The 23,662-nt window shown below is 44.4% G+C and overlaps 1 protein-coding gene across 1 annotated transcript in view; it reads right to left on the bottom strand.

The window, feature by feature from the left end:
* Nucleotides 1-10,363, bottom strand: part of NOP58 (NOP58 ribonucleoprotein) — a 37,899-nt gene extending 27,536 nt beyond the window's left edge. Inside the window, exons 1-2 of the mRNA NM_015934.5 lie at nucleotides 10,140-10,363; nucleotides 937-1,013 (exon numbers count right to left, since the gene is read on the bottom strand). Coding sequence (NP_057018.1) covers nucleotides 937-1,013; nucleotides 10,140-10,184 — 122 coding nt within the window. The 5' untranslated portion in view covers nucleotides 10,185-10,363. The remainder of the gene's footprint in view (nucleotides 1-936; nucleotides 1,014-10,139) is intronic.
* Nucleotides 10,364-23,662: the final 13,299 nt, after the last annotated feature.

The following is a 23,662-nucleotide window of genomic DNA, read 5'->3' as shown; positions in this document are numbered from 1 at the left end:
CTCAAATGATCCACCCACCTTGGTATCCCAAAGTACTAGGATTACAGACATGAGCCACCACACCAGGCAACAGTGTCATCTTAAGCAAGGTTTTCTTATCTGGTAAGGGAACATACTAGTGTGGTCCCTTAAATATACATACAAATACGAAGATTTAGGCCAGGTGTGGTGGCTCACGCCTGTACTCCCAGCACTTTGTGAGGCCGAGGCAGGCGGATCGCCTGAGGTCAGGAGTTTGAGACCTGCCTGACCAACATGGCGAAACCCTGTCTCTACTAAAAATACAAAAATTAGCTGGGCATGGTGGTGGGCACCTGTAATCCCAACTACTTGGGGGACTGAGGCAGAAGAATAGCTTGAACCCAGGAGGCGGAGGTTGCAGTGAGCAGAGATTGCGCCATTGTACTCCAGCCTAGGTGACAGAACAAGACTCTGTCTCAAAAAACAAACAAAAAAACCAAAGATTTAACATCTACACTAAGAATGAATCTTCCATGAAATTGTGATGAAAGAAAAAGTAGTTCATGCTAGTTTTGATGTTGCAAAACTCAAAAAGCAGGTTACAACCCCTGTGTGCGGTAAGTGCTTAGTTAAGATAAAAAAGGTATTACATTTGTGTGTGGAAGACACGAAGACAAATGTGTTCCTACTGACAGCAATCACATTTGGTACTATCCGAGGTTTAAAGTATCCACAGGGTCTTCTGGAACATAATCCCTGTGGGTAAGGGGGAGACTACTGCCTTCAAATTAATTGAGATGGCCTATATTCCAAGTAAAACATTTGTAATAATTAGGTTCATACCAAAATTATTCCTGAAACAGATTTCAAAACAGAAAACTACGAATGTAACATTATATAAATCAGGGAAAAATGTAAAAAATAAAACAAGCCCTAAATGTTAACTGCTAAATTATTGATTTCAAGAGTACTTACATTTTGTTTGCTTTCTCTGGAGTTTCAAATTCTTTCCATAAACTATCAACCTCTTGAAGTTTCTTCTCATTTAGAACCTGTAATAAAATGTTTAAATAGTTTTATTTAAATGGTACAGGTGAGGCATATACAGCTGCATTCTTCAAATACAATTTTACATGTAAAATGAAGGTGTAGAAGCTATTTCTTTCACTAAGATAATGAACTAGTTTTCTTACCCTGCATGTAATTTTGGTCAAATTACTAGTTCGAATTGCCCATTTAACAGCTAAATGGAATTCAGATCTAGTCCAGTCAGCTGTAGTACAGTGGCTATTCAGTCTAGAATCTACCTGGCCTCAAGAGATATTCCTGCCCCAGCCTTGGGCCGTAGCTGGAGCTATGGGGTCCTAGGGGGTAGGGCAGGGAACCTTTCTTTTTATTTTTTTGAGATGGAGTCTCGCTCTGTAGCCCAGCCTGGAGTGCAGTGGAGCAATCCTGGCTCACTGCAACCTTCACCTCCTGGGTTTATGAGATTCTAGTGCCTCGGCCTCCTGAGTAGCTGGGATTACAGGTGTGCACCACTGCACCTGGCCGAGAACCTTTCTTTTAAAAGAGCCATTAATCCCTTTACAGTAAAGTATTGTAATCATTAAAAACTTTAATTTGCGCCAAGCATGGTGGCTCACATCTGTAATCCCAGCACTTTGGGAGGCTGAGGCAGGCGGATCACCTGAGGTCAGGAGTTCAAGACCAGCCTGATCAACATGGAGAAACCCCGTCTCTACAAAAAAAAAAAAAAAAAAAAAATACAAAATTAGCTGGGCGTGGTGGCACATGCCTGTAATCCCCGCCACTCGGGAGGCTGAGGCAGGAGAATTGCTTGAACCCGGAGGCAGAGGTTGCAGTGAGCCGAGATTGCGCGACTGCACTCCAACCTGGGCAACAAGAGCAAAAAACTCCATCTCAAAAAAATAAAACAAAAAACAAAAAAAACTTTTGTCTACTTTCAATAGATTATATTCGTTATTTACTGCTATGATCATCCTAACATGAAAGTATTATGGATTTCTCTAAAACTATCGTCAATTGTGAGACACATCTAGATGTGAGAAATTTTTTAAATGCAAAAGAAACATAGGGTACTTTAATCAACAATATACTTATCAACATTTAGGTATATATTCTCCAAGACTTTGAATGTCTGTGCAACACATGTTCATGCATACTTTTAGGAATCACAGTAAATGGCTTTTTTTTTTTTTTTCTGAGATGGAGTCTCACTCTGTCGCCAGGCTGGAGTGCAGTGGCGCAATCTCGGCACACTGCAGCCTCCGCCTCCCGGGTTCAAGCGATTCTCCTGCCTCAGTCTCCTGAATAGCTGGGATTACAGGCACGCACCACAACACCCAACTAGTTTTTGTATTTTTAGTAGAGACTGGGTTTCACCAAGTTGGCCAGGCTGGTCTTGAACTCCTGACATCAGGTGATCCACCTGCCTCGGCCTCCCAAAGCGTTGGGATTACAGGCGTGAGCCAACACACCCAGCCGCCTTGTATTGTTTTGAAGCAAGACCTAGACATTTAATTTTTACCTGTTAATATTTCAGTTTGTATCTATAAAATATAAAGACTTGTTTTAAAACTAGTACTGTTGTAACAACAATGCTAAAGATTGCAATGGTAATAGTTGTATACTATTTCTACTTAGAAATGGAAATTATCTTAAAATGATAAAACTTAAAATGGATTTCTGTATACAAATATTTATCATTACCCTGGCTGAAAAGAAATGATTAAAAATTTGAGACAAATAAAAACTTTGAGACAAATGTAATACAGAAAATGTAGCAATATCTCTAACTTTCTTATTTAGATGGTCTTTATTAGCAATGTTTTCTTCAAGATGTTGCAGTTGGGAACACAATGGTTTTATTTGTCATAGTAATGGTTTTGGCTGACATAACATAGTCTTTGAAGACCTTTGTGTGCTCATGAATTGCCCTGATTTTATCACATTTCCTTTGTTATTTTAACTTCAGTTTTAGAATGGTGATAGTATTTTTTAATTAATTTATTTATTTATTGAGACGGAGTCTCGCTCTGTCGCCCAGGCTGGAGTGCAATGGCAGGATCTCGGCTCACTGCAAGCTCCACCTCCTGGGTTCACGTCATTCTCCTGCCTCAGCCTCCAGGACTACAGGCGCCTGCCACCACACCTGGCTAATTTTTTGTATTTTTAGTAGAGATGGGGTTTCACCGTGTTAGCCAGGATAGTCTCGATCTCCTGACCTCATGATGCACCCACCTCGGCCTCCCAAAGTGTTGGGATTACAGGCGTGAGCCACCCCGCCAGGCCGAAAGTATCTTTTAAATATGGCAATTTTGTTACCCAAATGTTATCTTCAAATATACTTGCTTTTCAGCTAGAAAAAATGTGAATTTTACTCATGAGTCATATCCCCTATTTGATACATGTCCTCTTAAAAATAGTGAACTTCAGTTATGGTTAGCTGCATTCTCTGAACAATTTCAAAAAATTTTAATCAGTGTTTTCAGTATAGTCATGAGACTTGGTGAGGTGTCTCTGGATTCTAAAACTTCATGATATACAAAGTTAGAGCTATTAGTTTATAAATTGTTAATACCAACTCTAGGCTTTGTAGTTGTTTATTGCTTTGTGTGACTCTAAGTTTTTCTAGTTTGGGTTATTTTTACCAACATATCTAATTCAACCATGTGTGATTAAATTTATACAGGCTGGGCACGGTGGCTCATGCCTGTAATCCCAGCACTCTGGGAGGCTGAGGCGGGCGAATCACGAGGTCAGGAGATCGAGACCATCCTAGCTAACACGGTGAAACCCCGCCTCTAACTAAAAATACAAAAAAATTAGCTGGGCGAGGTGGAAGGCGCCTGTAGTTCCAGCTACTCGGGAGGCTGAGGCAACAGAATGGCGTGAACCCCAGGGGGCGGAGCCTGCAGTGAGCTGAGATCGCGCCACTGCACTCCAGCCTGGGCGACAGCAAGACTCCGTCTCAAAAAAAAAAAAAAAAAAAAAATTATACATCAGAACAAACCCCTAAAATCATCTTGTCACTCATCTAAGTTTTATACAACTTGCAACATTGTGTTTCTCTTACTGAAAATAATATATAACCAGACTAGAACTGCGTCTTAATGTGTAGATGTGCTATATTATGGACTTGATAAATAATGCTTATTAGCAAAGTATAGTTTTAAATTTACTAGCTGTGTTGTTTTTCCAGAGACAGGGTCTCGCTTTGTTGTCCAGGCTGGAGTGGAGTGGTGTGGTCCTATGTCACTACAGCTTCAAACTCCTGGCCTCAAGCGATTCTTCTGCCTCGGCCTCCCAAGTAGCTAGGACTATAGGTGCACACTGCGACATCTAGCTCTTTTAAAAATCTTTTTGTAGAGACAGGGGCTTGCTTTGTTGCCCAGGCTGATCTCTAACTTCTGGACTCAAGTGATCCTCTTGCCTTGGCCTCTCAAAGTGCTGGGAGTGCAGGAAGGAACCATGGCGCCTGATCCAGCTGGTTTTTTAAATAAAAATATATGCATAATATCTGTGCATACTCTATTTCACAAAATTTAACATGCTATTCTTTTTTTTTTTATTTTTGAGACGGAGTCTTGCGCTCTGTCGGCCAGGCTGGACCGCAGTGGCGTGATCTCAGCTCACTACAACCTCCACCTCCCTGGTTAAAGCAACTCTCCTGCCTCAGCCTCCCAAGTAGCTGGGATTACAGGCACATGCTGCCATGCCTGGCTAATTTTTTTTTTTTTTTTTGTATTTTAGTAAAGTCGGGGTTGCACCCTGTTGCCCAGGCTGGTCTCGAACTCCTGAGGTCTGGCAATCTACCTGCCTCAGCCTCCCAAAGTACTGGGATGACAGGCGTGAGCCACCACACCCAGCTTATGTTATTCTTTTACACTCCCAATTGACCTGTCATCAATTGTAAGACATCCCAATTTTAGGGATGTTAAATATGGGGGTTGTGCCTTTTAGGATTGAGCCCATCCTATCTAATACTTGGGCAGCTGATACAGAATATTGGTGAGGGTATATGGAATTAAGAATTTTAATCACTTTTTTTGTTTTTTTTTGAGACAGTGTCTCGCCCTGTCACGCAGGCTGGGGAGTGCAGAGGCGCGGTCTTCTCACTGCAACCTCCACCTCCCTGGTTCAAGCGATCCTCCTGCCTCAGCTGGGACTACAGATTTGGCGACACACACCACCATGCCCGGCTAATTTTTGTATTTTTAGTAGAGACGGGGTTTCACTATGTTGGCCAGGCTGGTTTCAAACTCCTGACCTCATGATCTGCCCACCCCAGCCTTCCAAAGTGCTGGGATTACAGGTGTGAGCCACCATGTCCAGCCTCCTCATTTTCATTTTTAATTGATTGCTTGAGACTTTGTGTGGTTTTTGTTTTGTTTTGAGATGAGGTCTCACTCTGTTGTCCAGGCTAAAGTGCAGAGGCTCAATCACAGCTCACTGCAGCCGTGACCTCCCTCCCACCTCAGCCTCCTGCAGCAGCTGGGACTACAGGCAAGCACCACTGTGCCCAGCTAATTTTTTTTCCGCCATGTTGCCCAGGCTGGTCTGCAACTCCTGGGCTCAAACAATCCTCCTGCTTCACCCTCCCAAAGTGTTAGGGTGACAGGCGTGAGCCACTGCACCCAACCTCTATGTTTTGTGTAAATTATTTGATGCTAACTTTTAAGTTTCACTTCCACAGACAATATGAGCAAGTTAATATTTTATGAAACTTGTTTAAATACAGGATAAAACTGATAATTAGTTTAAAATGTGCACTGCTCAAAAAGAAACAAATCCATACACGCAACAAATGTGAAAAAGCTCTTCGGTTAGCTTCAGAAGCATTACACTAAGTGAAAAAAGCCAAACACAAAAGACTAAAATACTACTCCACTTACATGAAACTTCTAGAAAAAATTATGCAAAAAGAAAGCTGAACAGTGGTTGTCTAGAGCAGGACTAACTTGAAAATGGGCATGAGAACTTTTTGCAACAAAGTGTACTATAAAACTGGATTGTAACTAAAACCTATAGGTGAGTTATACAGTATGTAAAGTACACCCAATAAAGTTAGAAAAAATATATTGCTCAGTACTTAGGTTTTATATAGACATTTGGTATGTACATCAAAAATCTTTCTCCAAACCTTGAGAAAATGAAGTGACACAAAATGCTATGCTACACAGCTACACTGTACAATATAACCATTAAAATTCAAGTAAGTTAAAATTCACTTCCTCAGTCCTATCAGTTACATCTCATGTGAAATGGTTATACGTACTAATGGCTACCACATGGAAGAGCAGCTGAAGGAAGTCTGGTATGAGCAAGACTAAAATCTTATGCTGTGTGCCACGTGACACAAGGACACAGGTGGAATTTCTTTTTTTCTTTTTTTCTTTTTTTTGAGACGGAGTCTTGCCCTGTCGCCCAGGCTGCACTGCAGTGGCGCGACCGCAGCTCATTGCAACCTCTGCTCCTAGGTTCAACTGATTGTCCTGCCTCAGCCTTCCAAGTAGCTGGGGTTACAGGCGTGAGCCACTGCTCTCGGCCACAGGCTGAATTTTTATAATATCCTAGAATTAATCACAACAGTTCCTTTACACAATGTCTTTACATTTATATATATATAACCCTGTTAATGAGCAATAACTTTTTGGAAGTGTTTTCCTTTTGAATCGCTCTAAACACATAAGTGGGCAGAACACCGTACCTCATGGCTGTAATCCCAGCACCTTGAGGCCAGGAGTTTGAGACCAGCCTAGGCAACATAGTGAGACTCTGCCTCTTAAAAAAAAAAAAAAAAATTTAGGCCAGGCATGGTGGCTCACGCCTGTAATCCCAGCTACTTGGGAGGCTGAGGCAGGAAAATCGTTTGAACCCAGGAGGCGGAGGTTGCAGTGAGCCGAGATCACACCACTGCACTCCAGCCTGGGCAACAGAGTGAGACTCCATCTCAAAAAATAAATAAATACAAATACAAATAAATAAATAATTAGCCAGGCATGGTGGCTTGAGCCTGTAGTCCCAGCTACTCGGGAGGAGGTGGGAGGATCACTTGACCCAGGAGGCCAAGGCTGCAATGAGCCATGATCCTGCCACTGCACCCCAGCCTGGGTGACAGAGCAAGACCCTGCCTCAAAATAAATTTTAAATACATAAACATGAATTTGTATGTGTACATGGGTTATACATAAAATGTTTTCCTCACTGTAAATGGAAGTTTAAAAAAAACTTCAAGGCCAGGTGCAGTGGCTCACGCCTGTAATCCCAGCACTTTGGGAGGCTGAGGCGGGCAGATCACCTGAGGTCAGGAGTTCGAGACCAGCCTCAACATGGAGAAACCCTGTCACTACTAAACATACAAAATTAGCTGGGCGTGGTGGTGCATGCTGGTAATCCCAGCTACTCGGGAGGCTGAGGCAGGAGAATTGCTTGATCCTGGGAGGCAGAGGTTGTGGTGAGCCAAGATCGCGCCATTGCACTCCAGCCTGGGCAACAAGAGTGAAACTCCGTCTCAAAAAAAACAAAAAAACAAAAAACTTCAAAAAACTTCCTAAAGCATTCTCATCAAAGCATGAATTATATGCATCCAATATAATTTTTTTTTTTGAGACGGAGTTGTGCTCTTATTGCCCAGGCTGGAGTGCAATGGCACGATCTCAGCTCACCACAACCTCCGCCTCCCGGGTTCAAGCAATGCTCCCGCCTCAGCCTCCCAAGTAGCTGAGATTACAGGCGCACACCACCACGCCCAGCTAATTTTTCTATTTTTTTAGTAGAGACGGGGTTTCACCATGTTGGTTAGGCTGGTCTCAAACTCCTGACCTTGTGATCCGCCGGCCTCGGCCTCCCAAAGTGCTGGGATTACAGGCATGAGCCACCATGCCTGGCAACCAACATAATTTTATACCCTAGCATTTTGAAAGATTATGGGAAAGGAAACTAATAACTTTGAACCGTATGTCTACTTTTTTAGGAGATAAAATTCACCATATATCATATTAATTTTACATGTATCTTAATATTTGCCCTTTTAAAGTGTACAATTCACTTTTTAGTAGTGCATTTTCACAAAAATGTGCAGCCATCACTAGTTCCAGAACGTTTGTATGTCTTTTATACTCAGAAACGATCAATGTTAATTCCAATAATTACAAACTAATCAATGTCAACATATTCGAGCTTAACTAGTTATTTCTTTAGTACTAGGTTACATAAACCACAATTTAATCATTTTGAACAGTAACTTGCAGATAAATAGCACTGCAAACTCCAACGGAATACTCAAAGACATTTTCATGGAGGAGGACACTTTTCATTAATAGAAATCAGTAATTCATCGAGACACGGTTGAGTATTTTAGGACCCAGGTCTAGAAATCCGACCATTGATAAGCCAATTCCTTCCTACCATGGGAGACAACCAGTGCACTGTGCAGAGTTGCTCCTCTTCACATCCGGTACAGGACAGTATACTACGGCAATTAACGGTGAAATTCATCGATAGACACTTACAGACCACATTGGCTAAGAGAATTTGAAGCTATGCAGAACTCTACATGGTAATTTAGATAAGATTCCAAAAAGCTGGAGAAAAGTAAAATTGACATGTTTCGTAGCTCTAAAGGGGACTAAGGAGCTTACTTACAAGTTCCTTAAAACACTAATACGGCAATTGCAGATAACTCCAACTAAGGTAAAAACAAGCAAAACTGCCTTTTCGGTTTTAATGATTTTATTGGTTTTCTTAAAAATAACATTTGACGTATCAAATGCAAACTGCGTATTTTCAAATGTCAGAAGTGAAACATGGAGAACTCTGCACCCATCCAGACTTTCTTGCATCCACACCACAAATGGTTTTTTGGTTCATAGCTAAAATTGTATTACATTTATTTTTACCTAGCGTTTTTGCTTTCTACCAACATATATATATGTAGAATATACATAAAAACTTTATTTTTCATTGCTATATTCACAGACCTCAGAAGAGTTGCACCGCACAAGAAAAGGCACTCAATCTCACTCATTCTTCCTAACATCTCAACAGCATCTTGCGATACGAATGTCTTACCATTCAACCATTTCAGTGCTGACGAACTTGTCAAACTTTCCCCACGAAAACAACCAAACCTCAAACTGACATCACCAGCCCAGATGTTTTCCCCTAAGCTTCAAATCTGAAATACTGAACTGCCCGATCTACACAACTGCATTATCAGGTCTAATAGACAACGCAAGCTTCGCACAGCCCAAACCGGAAATCTTTAGTCCTTCCCCAAGAAACTTTCTTAACATCTTATTTAAACCAAAACCCCACATTCAATCTATTAGCCAGTCCTTCCTGTTCTACCTTCACAATTTCTATCGATATTTGTTTCTCTCCATACCAGGCAATTTCATCTTGTCCAAATGAATGCAAAAGTATTCTTGCTGCCGTTCTTATCTCCTCGAGTCTAATCTCCACACAGCAGAGTAACCGTATTAAGACAAATTAGCAGGTCATTCCTCTGCTTAAATCCTTTCGATTGGCCGAGCACGGTGGCTCACGCCTGTAATCCCAGCACTTTGGGAGGCCGAGGCAGGTGGATCGCTTGAGGTCAGGAGTTCAAGACCAGCCTGGCCAACATGGTGAAACCCCGTCTCTACTAAAAGCAAACAAACAAACAAAAACAACTAGCCAGGCGTGGTGGTGGATGGAGGCCTGTAATCCCAGCTACTCGGGAGGCCAAGGCAGGAGAATCGCTTGAACCCGGGAGACGGAGGTTGCAGTGAGCCAAGATTGCGCCACTGCACTCCAGCATGGGCAACAAGAGCGAAACTCCATCTCAAAAAAAAAAAAAATCTTTCGATCATTCCTCAAAACATCTAGAATAAAGTCCGAATTCCCTATAATCTGTTAAATTCTAACACGCCTCCTGCCCACCCCTTCAACGGGAGGAAATAAAATCCTCTAATGCAGAACGGGTCTCCCCAAACGGCGGGGCCACGTGTTACACGTAACATGGCTCTCAGGTGTAAAGGCCTTCTCCCTCCTCCCAGAGCCCGGGCTATAACAGGCACCCACGCTACTCTGAGTAGTTCCGTGCTTAAGTCTTTCCCTCTCCTCGTCTGTCCAGCATCCGCCTTCCCCCTTTAACGGCTCGCTCTCCCACCTACCTTAAAGATGGCGTAACCCACAGACGTTTCAAACAGCACCAACATGGTGAGGCCGGGTCAGGGCGCCGCACGGCCTGCCAGAAGCTGTAGAGTCAGTTCAAAAACACCGACTACGCGGCCTCAAAAGGCCTCCTAGGCCGCGGCGGGCAAAGCACAAATGCGCTCGCCGTCCCGCAAAGAATCAGAACACGCTGCCTAAACCCTCCACGCTGTACTGGAACTAGGACGCACGAACGCGCTACTCCTTCTCTGAGGATTCTGGGATAGCAACGTCACTTCCGACAGAAGACTGCCGCAGAGATTGCCGTCACTTCCAGAATGTTCCCGCCACAGCGGGCTGGGGCGGGCCGAGAAAGTTTGTATCGCGGGATCTAGGGCCTGAACGGAGCCTTTGCGCCTTTTTTTCTTTTTTCTTTTTTTCTTTTTTGGAGACGGAGTCTCGCTCTGTAACCCAGGCTGGAGTGCAGTGGTGTGATCTCGGCTTACTGCAACCTCCGCCTCCCGGGTTCAAGAAATTCTCCTAGCCGGGCGCAGTGGCTCACGCCTGTAATCCCAGCACTTTGGGAGGCCGAGGCGGGCGGATCACAAGGTCAGGAGATCGATCGAGACCATCCTGGCTAACACGGTGAAACTCCGTCTCTACTAAAAATACAAAAAATTAGCCGGGTGTGGTTGCAGGCGCCTGTAGTCCCAGCTACTCGGGAGGCTGAGGCAGGAGAATGGCCTGAACCCAGGGGGCGGAGCTTGCAGTGAACCAAGATCCTGCCACTGCACTCCAGCCTGGGCGACAGAGCGAGACTCCGTCTCAAAAAAAAAAAAAAAAAAAGAAATTCTCCTGCCTCAGCCTCCCCAGTAGCTGGGACTAGAGGCACACACCACCACGCCCAGCTAATTTTTGTATTTTTAGTAGAGATGGGGTTTCAGCATGTTGGCCAGGATAGTCTCGATCTCTTGACCTCGTGATACGCCCGCCTCGGCCTCCCAAAGTGCTGGGATTACAGGCGTGACCCACTAGGCCCGGCCTTTTTTTTTTTTTTTTTTTTTTTTTTTTTTTTTTTTGAGACAGTCTGGCTGTTGCCCAAGCTGGAGTGCAGTGGCACTATCACGGCTCACTGCAACCTCCAACTCCCAGGCTCAAGCGATCCTCCCACTTCACCCTCCGGAGCAGCTGGGACTACAGGCCTGTGCCACCACACCCAGCTAATTTTTTGTAGAGACAGGGTTTCACGATGTTGCCCAGGCTGGTCTCGGACTCTTGACCTCAAGGGATCCTCCCACCTCGGCCTCCCAAAGTGCTGGGATTACAGGCGTGAGCCACCGCGCCCCGCCACCGCTAGAGATTTAAAGGGGAAAAACTTCACGATATTATTTTGTTAACCCTCTATGAATTATATGTTCACTTTGAGAGAAACGAGGAGCTGTTTCGGTGCCAGTCTGCCTCAGGCATCTAGAATTTGAAATGCCAGCTAGTGCCATTAGACTTTATCCCCTTTCAAGCCCTGCCTTGAGGCGAAGGCCTCAGAATGACACCATTACTGTCACTATATTTGTGAGCATTCCTGGCCGTTCCCTTCTGTCTGGCCAAATGAATTATTAGCACAGTTTTCTTTCAATAAGCCTCTCCTATTTTTGCTGCATTTGTTAAAATGACCCCAGGGTATGAATTTAGAATGTCTTTTTTTTTTTCTTTTTCTTCTTTGTTTTTTTTGAGACGGAGTTTCACTCTTGTTGCCTAGGCTGGAGTGCAGTGGTATGATCTCTGCTTACTGCAACCTCTGCCTCCCGGGTTCAAGCAATTCTCCTGCCTCAGCCTCCCGAGTAGCTGGGATTACAGGCATGTACCACCACGCCTGGCTAATTTTGTATTTTTAGTAGAGATGGGGTTCCTCCATGATGGTCAGGCTTGTCTCGAACTCCTGACCTCAGGTGATCCACCCACCTCGGCTTCCCAAAGTGCTGGGATTACAGGCATGAGCCACTGTGCGGGGCTGAATTTAGACTGTCTTCTTGATTTAGTGTTACTTGCTTTTCTGGAAGCCTTTCAGTCTCAGGGACTGGGATTAAATACCCCAGTTGTTTCACAAGTCTGTCTTCCAACAGGGGTAAAATTTCCTTACTCACTTCCCAGGCCCTATATGCAGATTGTTCCTAATCATTAAATTGCAACCTGCTGGGAGAATTGCTTGAACCCAGGAGGCGGAGGGTGCAGTGAGCCGAGGTGGCACTACTGCACTCCAGCCTAGGCGACACAGCGAGACTCCATCTAAAAAAAAAAATTGCAACCTGCTCAAGATTGTGGAACATTAAATAGGTAGCAACTCTGCAACCTGAGATTAAGAGGAAAGAAAATCCTGGGTTGAATAACAGAAAGTCACAGGACAGAGGAATCTAGGGTGAATTCTTTTTTTTTTTTTTTTTTTGAAACGGAGTCTCAGTCTGTCGCCAGGGCTGGAGCGCAGTGTCGCGATCTCAGTCACGATCTCAGCTCACTGAAGCCTCTGCCTCTTGGGCTCAAGTGATTCTCCTGCCTCAGCCTCCCCAGTAGCTGGGATTACAGACACACGCCACCATGCCCAACTAGTTTTTGTATTTTTAGTAGAGACGGGGTTTCCCCATGTTGGCCAGGCTGGTCTTGAACTCCTGACCTCAGGTGATCCGCCTGCCTCAGCCCCCCGAAGTGCTGGGATTACAGGCATGAGCTACCACGCCCGGCCTAGGGTGAATTCAAGAGCATAATTGGCCGAGTGTATGGTTCACGCCTGCTATGATCTCACCATTACACTCCAGCCTGGGCTACTAAGCAAGACCCTGTCTCAAAAAAGAAAAAAAGCATGGTTGATTATAGTTACAGCTGTAATCCAGTGTGGTCAGGGAGACAAGAGAGACGAAAATTACCTGATTGGGAGAGGGGTATGCGTGGGTGGGTGAGATGTTAGAAACACCATGTCTGTTTATAGTGTTATTTAACTGCACAGTATTTTTCTGTCTAGTCTCCTTAGCAGAAGTGACATCTGCTAGAGAATTGAGTCTACTTTACACATATTTGTGTCTGTATAGGATGTTATGTTGTGCTACTCATGAAATAGAATCTAATTAATTCTTAAAAATTTAATGAATGAATGTCTGCAGGAAGTAAAAATTCTTTTCTTTACGTGTAAAGCCTTAAATCCTATTCCCAAAATGAAATGAAACCACTTATTCAATGAGAAATCTCTTTGCCATGGTATGTCCTAGAATTTGTCCTTGCACGTTACCATTTACATAGTCACCTCCATATGATGCTTTAATCAGGAGTTCAGAGCTGACTCTGATTTTGGGTTTGTAACTTGACCAAATAAAGTAATTGGAGATTTTCTTTCTTTCTTTTTTTTTTTTTTGAGATGCAGTCTTGCTCTGCTGCCCAGGCTGGAGTGTAGTGGCATGATCTTGGCTCACTGCAACCTCTGTCTCTTGGGTTCAAGCAATTTTCTGCCTCTGCCTCCTGGGTAGCTGGGATTATAGGCCCCTGCCACCACACCCTGCTAATTTTTGTATTTTTAGTAGAGATGGGGTTTCACCATGTTGGCCAGGCTGGTCTTGAACTCCTGACCTCATGATCCACCCACCTCGGCCTCCCAAAGTGCTGGGATTACAGGCATGAGCCACTGCTCCCGGCCAGTAATTGGAGATTTTCTCTTGCAAGGGAGAAGTAAGAGTCTTAGTACTTTGTTAAAGTACTGAGTGAAGGGGAGATAGCACAAAGAAATATAAGAAGGAGAATATAGGAGAGTACAGATGATAGAAGGGCTTACAATTTTTTTTTTTTTTTGAGACAGAGTTTCGCTCTTGTTGCCCAGGCTGGAGTGCAATGGCATGATCTCAGCTCACCGCAACCCCTGCTTCCCGGGTTCAAGCGATTCTTCTGCCTTAGCCTTCCGAGTAGCTGGGATTACAGGTATGTGCCACCACGCCCAGCTAATTTTGTATTTTTAGTAGAGACAGGGTTTCTCCATGTTGGTCAGGCTGGTCTCGAACTCCTGGCCTCAGATGATCTGCCCACCTTGGCCTCCCACAGTGCTGGGATTACAGGTGTGAACAACTGCGCCCGGCCAGGGCTTACAATTTTACTGGTGGCTAACATGGTGAAATAACAAGGATGAGAAACATGGTTCGTCTGTCCTCTCTGTACACCCCAACTCCACCCCTGTTCCAACTAGAATATAAACTCTATAAAAGTTAGTTGCAAAATCTGCAAGTACTAGGCTAGTATCTGGCACGTAGTAGAGATTCCATAAACATGACTAGTAACTAAGTAAATGAATGGATGAATGGAATGAGTGAATGGTGGGATAATTTCAAGGTGCTAGTAGAGCCTCCAGGGACTTTTTGGAACCTAATGAGATTAGCCAAAGACACCATTTTGGTCAGACACCTTCCATGTGCCTGGTAACAAGAAGGGGATGTTCTGGGTGGTGAATATCTTTTATGTATTCAACAAATATTTGAGTGTCTACTCTGTGCCAGGCATTCTTTTTTTTTTTTTTTTTTTGAGATGGAGTCTCACTCTGTTGCCCAGGCTGGAGTGCAATGGTAGGATTTCAGCACTCACTGCAACCTCCACCTCCCGGGTTCAGGAATTCTCCTGCCTTAGCCTCCTGAGTAGCTGGGACTATACAGGTGCGCACTTCCACACCCGGCTAATTTTTGCATTTTTAGTAGAGACGGGGTTTCACCATGTTGGTCAGGCTGGTCTCAAACTCCTGACCTCGTGATCCACCCACCTCGGCCTCCCAAAGTGCTGGATTACAGGCGTGAGCCACTGCACCCAGCCTGTGCCAGGCATTCTTTTTTTTTTTTTTTTTTTTGAGATGGAGTTTCGCTCTTGTTGCCCAGGCTGGAGTGCAATGGCGCGATCTCCGGCTCACCGCAACCTCTGCCTCCTGGGTTCAATCAATTCTCCTGCGTCAGCCTCCTGAGAGCTGGGATTACAGGCCGCCACACCGAGCTAATTTTTTATTTTTAGTAGAGACGGGGTTTCTCCATGTTGATCAGGGTGGTCTCGAACTCCCTACCTCAGGTGATCCGCCCACCTCAGCCTCCCAAAGTGCTGGGATTACAGGGATTACCACGCCCGCCTGTGCCAGGCATTCTTACAGGCACTAGAGACACAGCAGTGAAAGAAACATGTAAAAATCTCTCTACTTATTATTACTCTTGTTTTCCTTCTCAGAGAAGTTAAGTAATGCAAAATCATACAATCTTCCTCATAGTTTCCTTTAGGAGTACCCAGAAGATGGACATGGAAATTGTTTCTATCACACAATCACTGACCTGCCGCGTACAGTGCTGTATTTTCTTTTTTTTCTTTTTAGACGGGCTGGGGTGCAATGGTGTGATCTTGGCTCACTGGAACTTCCACCTCCCGGATTCAGGCAATTCTCCCGCCTCAGCCTCCAGAGTAGCTGGGATTACAGACACACACCATTATGCTTGGCTAATTTTTGTGTTTTTGTAGAGACAGGGTTTCACCATGTTGGCCAGGCCAGTTTTGAACTCCTGACCTCAGGTGATCCGCCCGCCTCAGCCTCCCAAAGTGCTGGGATTACAGGCAGGAGCCACCATGCCTGGCCTACAGTGCTGTATTTTCTTGCTCTGGTGTCTGCTGGTATTGCAGACCTCTACTCTGTTGACTGCTTCCACTTTGTTGAAAGCAGGTGCTGCCCACACCATTGTCCACCTTCTCTATATCGCTACCTTCATGGGTTGATGTCCCTTTCCAGCCAACAGGGGATCAACTTTTGTGCCTTCTAATTTGTTCTTTCAGAGTTGTTGGCCCCTTGTGTCACATGTTTTTCTTTTTGCCAGAGTCCTTTTTTTCCAGAGACCCTGGGTGCTTGGAGAAATCAGGCTACTGGGATAATATGTTGGGAGATGGACAGAAATAGGCTCAAACCTCTGACCGTGTGTTCTAACAGCCAGCCTTTTTGTTTGGTCTGGCTCATGCAACTAGATGCATGATGGTTTTTTCTCATGATGCTATTGTCTTTCTGGGCAGTCCAGCATTTTCCGAGGACTTCTTGCCATCAAATCAGTACTAGTATGAACCTTAATGTCTTTCCCTCACTTTACCCTGTGGGCCCCATGCAAATCAAGGGTATCTGTTTCAATTGAGTTTCTATTTCAGTTTAGAAGTTTCCTGAAGCTGGGTGCAGTGGCTCACACCTGTAATCCCAGCACTTTGGGAGGCCCAGGTGGGTGGATCACGAGGTCAGGAGTTCAAGACCAGCCTGGCCAAGATGGTGAAACCCCATCTCTATTAAAAATACAAAAATTAGCTGGGTGTGGCGGCAGGCGCCTGTAATCCCAGCTACTCAGGAGTTTGAGGCAGGAGAATCACTTGACCTGGGAGGCGGAGGTAGCAGTGAGCTGAAATTGCGCCACTGCGCTGCAGCCTGGGAAACAGAGCAAGACTCTGTCTCCAATAAATAAAAAAATAATAAAAATAAATTTAAAAAAAAGTTTCCTGAACATGGCTGGGTGCAGTGGCTCACGCCTGTAATCCCAACGCTTTGGCAGGCTGAGACGGGCGGATCACCTGAGGTGAGGAGTTCGAGACCAGCCTGACCAACATGGAGAAACCCTGTCTCTATTAAAAATACAAAAATTAGCCGGGCATGGTGGAGTATGCCTGTAATCCCAGCCACTCGGGAGGCTGAGGCAGGAGAATTGCTTGAACCCAGGAGGCAGAGGTTGCAGTGAGCCAAGATCATGCCATTGATTACACTCAAGCCTGGGCAACAAGAGCGAAACCCCGTCTCAAAATAAATAAATAAATAAATGAAAAGTTTCCTGAACATTTCAGCACACATGGGAGGATCATTTGAAGCAAGGAGTTTGAGACCAGACTAGGCAACAAAGTGAGACCCCTGTCTCTACAAAAAAAAAAAAAAAAAAAAAAAAAAAGCCAGGTGTGGTGGCTCACGCCTGTAATCCCAGCACTTTGGGAGGCCAAGGCGGGCAGATCACCTGAGGTCAGGACTTTGAAACCAGCCTTGACCAACATGGTGAAACCCCGTCTCTACTAAAAATACAAAAATTAGCTGGGCGTCTTGGCATCCGCCTATAATCCCAGCTACTAGGGATACTGAGGCAGGAGAATTGCTTGAACCCAGGGGGCAGAGGTTGCAGTGAGCTGAGATCTCGCCATTGCACTCCAGCCTGGTCAACAACAGGGAAACTCCATCTCAAAAAAAATAAAATGAAATAAAAAAATTAGGTGGGCAAGGTGGCATGTGCCTGTAGTCCCAGCTATTTGGGAGGCTGACCAGGGAGGTCGAGGCTACAATGAGCTATGATCACCCCACTGCACTCCAGGCTGAGTGAAAGAGCAAGACCTCGTTTCCTGAACATTTGAACATAAAAATGTGGAGGCTAGTCTACCCAGAAAACATAGAGGCTGTCTGGTGAGTTGTGTGGTAAAGCAGCTCAAGAAAGTCTCATTTCTGCCTGACCAGCTAAAATATAGTGATACCCATTCATCGGTGTCTTGTGAGCTTGCACAAAATGAGCCATTTCCTCTGAACTAATCAATCTGGGTTAATGATAAAAATTTAGTTTCTTGGCTTGTAAAGCTAAGGTCCAGACCCTCGACCATATCATGGTATGGTCCTGAGCAGACTAATAATTAGCCTCTATTTTTGACATCACTATCTCTGCTCCAACTTCAAGATTACTTGCTCTTAGGGAACTTTTAATTTTTTGAAAAACAAAATCTATGCATATTAAACAATTATAAGAAACTAGGCCCAGTGTGATGGCTCATGCCCGTAATCTCAGCACTTTGGGAGGCTGAGGCAGGCAGATCACTTGAGGCTAGGAGCTTGAGACCAGCCTGGGCACCATGGTGAAACCCTGTCTCTACTAAAAATACAAAAATTAGCTGGGTATGGTGGCACATGCCTGTAATCCCAGCTATTTGGCAGGCTGAGGCACAAGAATTGCTTGAATCCATGAGGCAGAGGTTGCAGTGAGCCGAGATCACACCACTGCACTCCCGCCTGGGTGACAGAGCAAGGCTCTGTCTCAAAAAAAAAAAAAAAAAAAAAAAAAAAAAAAAGAAAGGGCCAGGCGCGGTGGCTCAAGCCTGTAATCCCAGCAGTCTGGGAGGCCGAGGTGGGTGGATCACCTGAGATTAGGGGTTCAAGACCAGCCTGGGCAACATGGTGAAACCCTGTCTCTACGAAAAATACAAAAATTAGCCGGGCCTGGTGGTGCATGCCGTAATCCCAGCTATTTGGGAGGCTGAGGCAGGAGAATCGCTTGAACCTGGGAGGTGGAGGTTGCAGTGAGCCGAGATCGTACCATTGTACCCCAGCCTGGGCAACCAGAGCGAAACTCCGTCTCCAAAAAAAAAGAAATGTAGAGCAAAATAGACACTGTATACTTCCACCAAGGGTAAGCATACACGGTCTACACTTGGGAAACACACATACACCCCACTTTGCACCCTGAGAAAACAGAAACAAAAGAAGGCTCTAGTTTTAATATCTCAAATAAAACCTTGGGCTTTCCTGTAAATTACTGTTTCCTAGATAAAAACAACTGTTTTTATAAAGCGAATAACTGAAGATATGGGAGGGGCTTTATAGATAAAATAATCACATGAGAAAATTGCTATTTTTCCTTTATTAACTGACTAGCTGTTAACTTGGTAACCTTGGTTACTTTGTGGGTAGTTTCCTTTAAGTACATAGTTTGTTTATTCATTTTTTTTTTTTTTTGAGACAGAGTCTCGCTCTGTCGCCCAGGCTGGAGTGCAGTGGTGCGATCTCGGCTCACTGCAAACTCCGCCTCCCAGGTTCGCGCCATTCTCCTGCCTCAGCCTCCTGAGTAGCTGGGACCACAGGTGCCCGCCACCACGCCCGGCTAATTTTTTGTGTTTTTAGTAGAGATGGGGCTTCACCATGTTAGCCAGGATGGTCTCGATCTCCTGACCTCGTGATCCACCCGCCTTGGCCCCCCAAAGTGCTAGGATTACAGGCGTGAGCCACCACGCCCGGCCTCATTTTTGTTTTGTGGTGAGCAAGCTCTTTAAAATACTGGCCACCTTCCTCAAATTTGACACAAATTGAAACCCAAATATCAGCTTACATTAAAAAATTAACAAACAAAAACAAAGAACAGATTCAGAACAAAAAACACAGTAGGTCCTCTTCAAAAACTTCTGATGTTAAATTTATCATATATAGATTTTACATTGCTTAATCTGAAATGTTTAAATAAAAAACGTGAAATCAGGAAAAAGAGCAAGATGTAAGTATTAAAATGATTTGGCATATTTGAAAAAGAATCATATTGCATTTCTAGAATAAAACATATAACATTGAAATAAAAACTTGACAGATTTGCTAGAAAACAAGTTAAAACATGGACAAAAAAGAGAATTAGTACTCTGCAGATAAACATAAAGAAAGTACTTCAGCCAGGCACAGTGGCTCATACCTGTAATCCCATCACTTTGGGAGGCTGAGGCAGGAGGCTTGCTTGAGCTCAGTTCAAGACCAGCCTGGGCAACATAGTGAGACTCTGTCTTCACAAAAAATTTTAAAAATTAGCCGGTGTGGTGGTATGCACCTTAGTCCCAGCTACTTGGGAGGATCACTTAAACCTGGGACAAGAATTCACACATACAGGAAACACAATTCAGAGGGAAAGTTCATACCTAAGTATGGTGTAGAATATCATAATCACAGAATGGTTATGTCAGAACCACAAGATATCAAAAAGAGAAAAATCTTAAATTCAGCCAGAGAGAAAAGTCAGATGACCTGCAACGTACAAAGTAAAACGATTAGACTAAGGGAGGTCTTAACAGCAATAATAGTGTTTAGAGAATAGTGGAAGAATATCTTCAAAGTGTTAGAAAAAAGAGTAACTCAACTTAGAATTGTATATCCAGCAAAATGATTTGTTCATAAATAAACATAAAGACTTTCTTTATTTTGCGACAGAGATTGTTCTGTTGCCCCAGGCTGAAGTGCAATGGCTTAATCTCGGTTCACTGCAATCTCTGCTTCCCAGGTTCAAGCAATTCTCCTGCCTCAGCCTCCTGAGTAGCTGGGTTTACAGGCACGTGCCACCATGCCTGGCTAATTTTTGTTTTTTGGTTTTTTTTGGAGATGGAGTCTCACTCTGTCACCAGGCTGGAGTGCAGTGACACGCTCTCAGCTGGGAGGTTAAGCTGCAGTTAGCAGTGATCAGGCCACTGCACTCCAGCCTGGGCAACAGAGTGAGACCCTGTTTCAAAAAAAAAGAAGTACTTCAAATGAGTCATAGACTCATGAAAAATACAAAAGAATACTTAAGAATACTTAAGAAACCTAAGAAAAAATAGGCCAGGCGCGGTGGCTCGCGCCTGTAATCCCAGCACTTTGGGAGGCCGAGGCAGACGGATCACGAGGTCAGGAGATCGAGACCATCCTGGCTAACAGGGTGAAACCCCGTCTCTACTAAAAATACAAAAAAAATTAGCCGGGCGTGGTGGCAGGCGCCTGTAGTCCCAGCTACTCTGGAGGCTGAGGCAGGAGAATGGCGTAAAACCCAGGAGGCGGAGCTTGCAGTGAGCCGAGATCGTGCCACTGCACTCCAGCCTGGGCGACAGCCTGGACTCCGTCTCAAAAATAAATAAATAAATAAATAAATAAATAAATAAATAAATAAATAAAGAGACTAAGAGAAGAGGTATCAGCAGTGAGCCGAGATTGCCCATTACACTCCAGCCTGGGCAACAAGAGTGAAACTCTGTCTGAAAAAAAATAAAAAATTAAATAATTAAATAATTAATTAATCCTAAAGTTGTGCCCATAGGCTGGGCACTGTAGGTCATGCCTGTAATTCCAGCACTTTGGGAGGCCCATGTGGATGGATCGCTTGACCCCAGGAGTTTCAGACCAGCCTGAGCAACATAGCAAGACCCCATCTTTATTTTAAAAAAGAGTTGTGCCCCTAGATTAACTCATAACCTGATTGAATGAGTATTGTACAATACAGTACATGATGACATAGGGAAAGACCCACACTCTAGCCTTGGTGACAGAGCAAGACTCTGTCTCAAAAGAAAAAAAAGGAATTTTTTTAAAAAAGAAAAGCTCAGGGGCCAGGTGCAGTGGCTCATGCCTGTAATCCCAGCACTTTGGGAGGCAGAGGAGGGCGGATCATAAGGTGAAGAGATCGAGACCATCCTGGCCAACATGGTAAAACCCCGTCTCTACTAAAAATACAAAAATAAGCTGGGCATGGTGGCATGCCCCTGTAATCCCAGCTACTTGGGAGGCTGAGGCTGGAGAATTGCTTGAACTTGGGATGTAGAGGTTGCAGTGAGCCAAGATCGCCCCACTGCACTCCAGCCTGGTGACAGAGTGAGACTCAGTCTCAAAAAAAAAAAGAAAAGAAAAGAAAAGCTCAATGTCTGCAAGTTAATTATATATTGTAAAAATATATCAATTATTGATATGAGTAATGAGTATATGTTAGTAATTGTATATATATATATATATATTTTTTTTTTTAAGAGACAAGGTTTTACTCTGTCACCCAAGCTATAGTGCAATGGCATGATCACAGCTCACTTGAACTCACTTCTGGTTTCAAGTGCTACTCTCACCTCAGCCTCTGGAGTAGCTGGAATTATAGGTCACATCAGCATGCCTGGCTAATTTTTATTTATTTATTTATTTATTTTTGAGATGGAGTTTCACTCTTGTCACCCAGGCTGGAGTGCAGTGGCATGATCTTGACGCACTGCAACCTCTGCCTCTCAGGTTCAAGTGATTCTCCTGCCTCAGCCTCCCGAGTAGCTGGGACTATAGGCACCTCCCATCACGCCTGGCTAATTTTTTGTATTTTTAGTAGAGGCAGAGTTTCGCCATGTTGGGCAGGATGGTCTCAAACTACTGACCTCAGGTGATCCGCCTGCCTCAGCCTCCCAAAGTGCTGGGATTACAGACGTGAGCCACCACGTCTGGCAATTTTTAAATTTTTTATAGAGACAGGATGTTGCTATGTTGCTGATATGGTTTGGCTGTGTCCTCACCCAAATCTCACCTTGAATTCCCAAGTGCTCTGGGAGGGACCCAGTGGGAGGTAATTGAATCATGGGGGCAGGTCTTTCTGGTGCTGTTCTCATGATAGTGAATAAGTCTTTTAAGGGGGAGTTTTTAAGGGGGAGTTTCCCTGCACAAGCTCTGTCTTTACTTGCTGGCATACATGTAAGACATGACTTGCTCCTCCTTGCCTTCCACCTTGTTTGTGAGACCTCCCCAGCTATGTGGAACTTTAAGTCCATTAAACCTCTTTTTATTTATTTATTTATTTTTTATTATTTTCTAGGGTACATGTGCACAACATGCAGGTTTGTTACATATGTATACATGTGCCATGTTGGTGTGCTGCACCCATTAACTTGTCATTTACATTAGGTATATCTCCATCCTATCCCTCCCCCATCCCCCCACCCCAGGACAGGCCCCAGTGTGTGATGTTCCCCACCCTGTATCCAAGTGTTCTCATTGTTCAATTCACACCTATGTGTGAGAACATGTGCGTTAAACCTCTTTTTCTTCCCGGTCTTGGGTTTGTCTTTATCAGCAGCATGAAAACGGGCTAATACAGTTGCCCAGGCTGGTTTGGAACTTTTGGTCTCAAGCGATCCTCTTGGCTTGGCCTCCCAAAATTCTAGGATTACAATTGTGAGCCACCAAGCCTGGCCTCACTGTATACTTTTCAGGTTGGATAGAAACACACTTATGTTCACAAGCAAGGACAGTGCATTACTGGCAAAAGATATCTGAGTTACTGGCAGCAAATTCATATGGGTCTGCAGCAACCTCAATTCTTGCCTCCTCAAAAGAAAGAATTCGACTGAAGGGTATAAGGCAGAAAAAGAGACCACAGCAACTTTTAGAGAAGGAGTTGAAGTTTGTTTGTTTGTTTGTTTGTTTGTTTGAGACAGAGTCTCACTCTGTAGCCCAGGCTGGAGTGCAGTGGCCTGATCTCGGCTCACTGCAACTTGTATCTCCCGGGTTCAAGCAATTCTCCTGCTTCAGCCCCCTGAGTAGCTGGGATTACAGGTGTGCATCTCCATGCCCAGCTAATTTTTGTATTTTTAGTAAAGACATGGTTTCACCATGTTGGCCAGGCTGGTTGTGAACTCCTGACCTCATGATCCACCCACTTCAGACTCCCAAAGTGCTGGGATTATAGGCGTTATCCACCGTGCCTGGGCTGAAGTTTATTTAAAAAGGCTGTAGAACAGGAAAGTATGCTTGGAAGAGATCCAAGCAGGCATGTGAAGGTCAAGTGCTGCCTTTAGCTGTGATCCTAGGACTTTGTAGGCTGCCCCACTTCTGGTGTCTTTCACCCCTTTTCCATGATTCTTCCTTTAGGGTGGGCTGCATGCTGCCCTTTTTATGTTTGGGAAGTGAGCACATGCGCTGTGTTTAGGAGGTTGTATGCATCCCCATCTGAAGCTTTCTTCCCTTTTCCAG

This window comes from Homo sapiens, chromosome 2 (assembly GCF_000001405.40).
Source record: "Homo sapiens chromosome 2, GRCh38.p14 Primary Assembly".
Taxonomy (NCBI): domain Eukaryota; kingdom Metazoa; phylum Chordata; class Mammalia; order Primates; family Hominidae; genus Homo; species Homo sapiens.
This window is presented reverse-complemented; position numbering and strand designations above follow the sequence as displayed.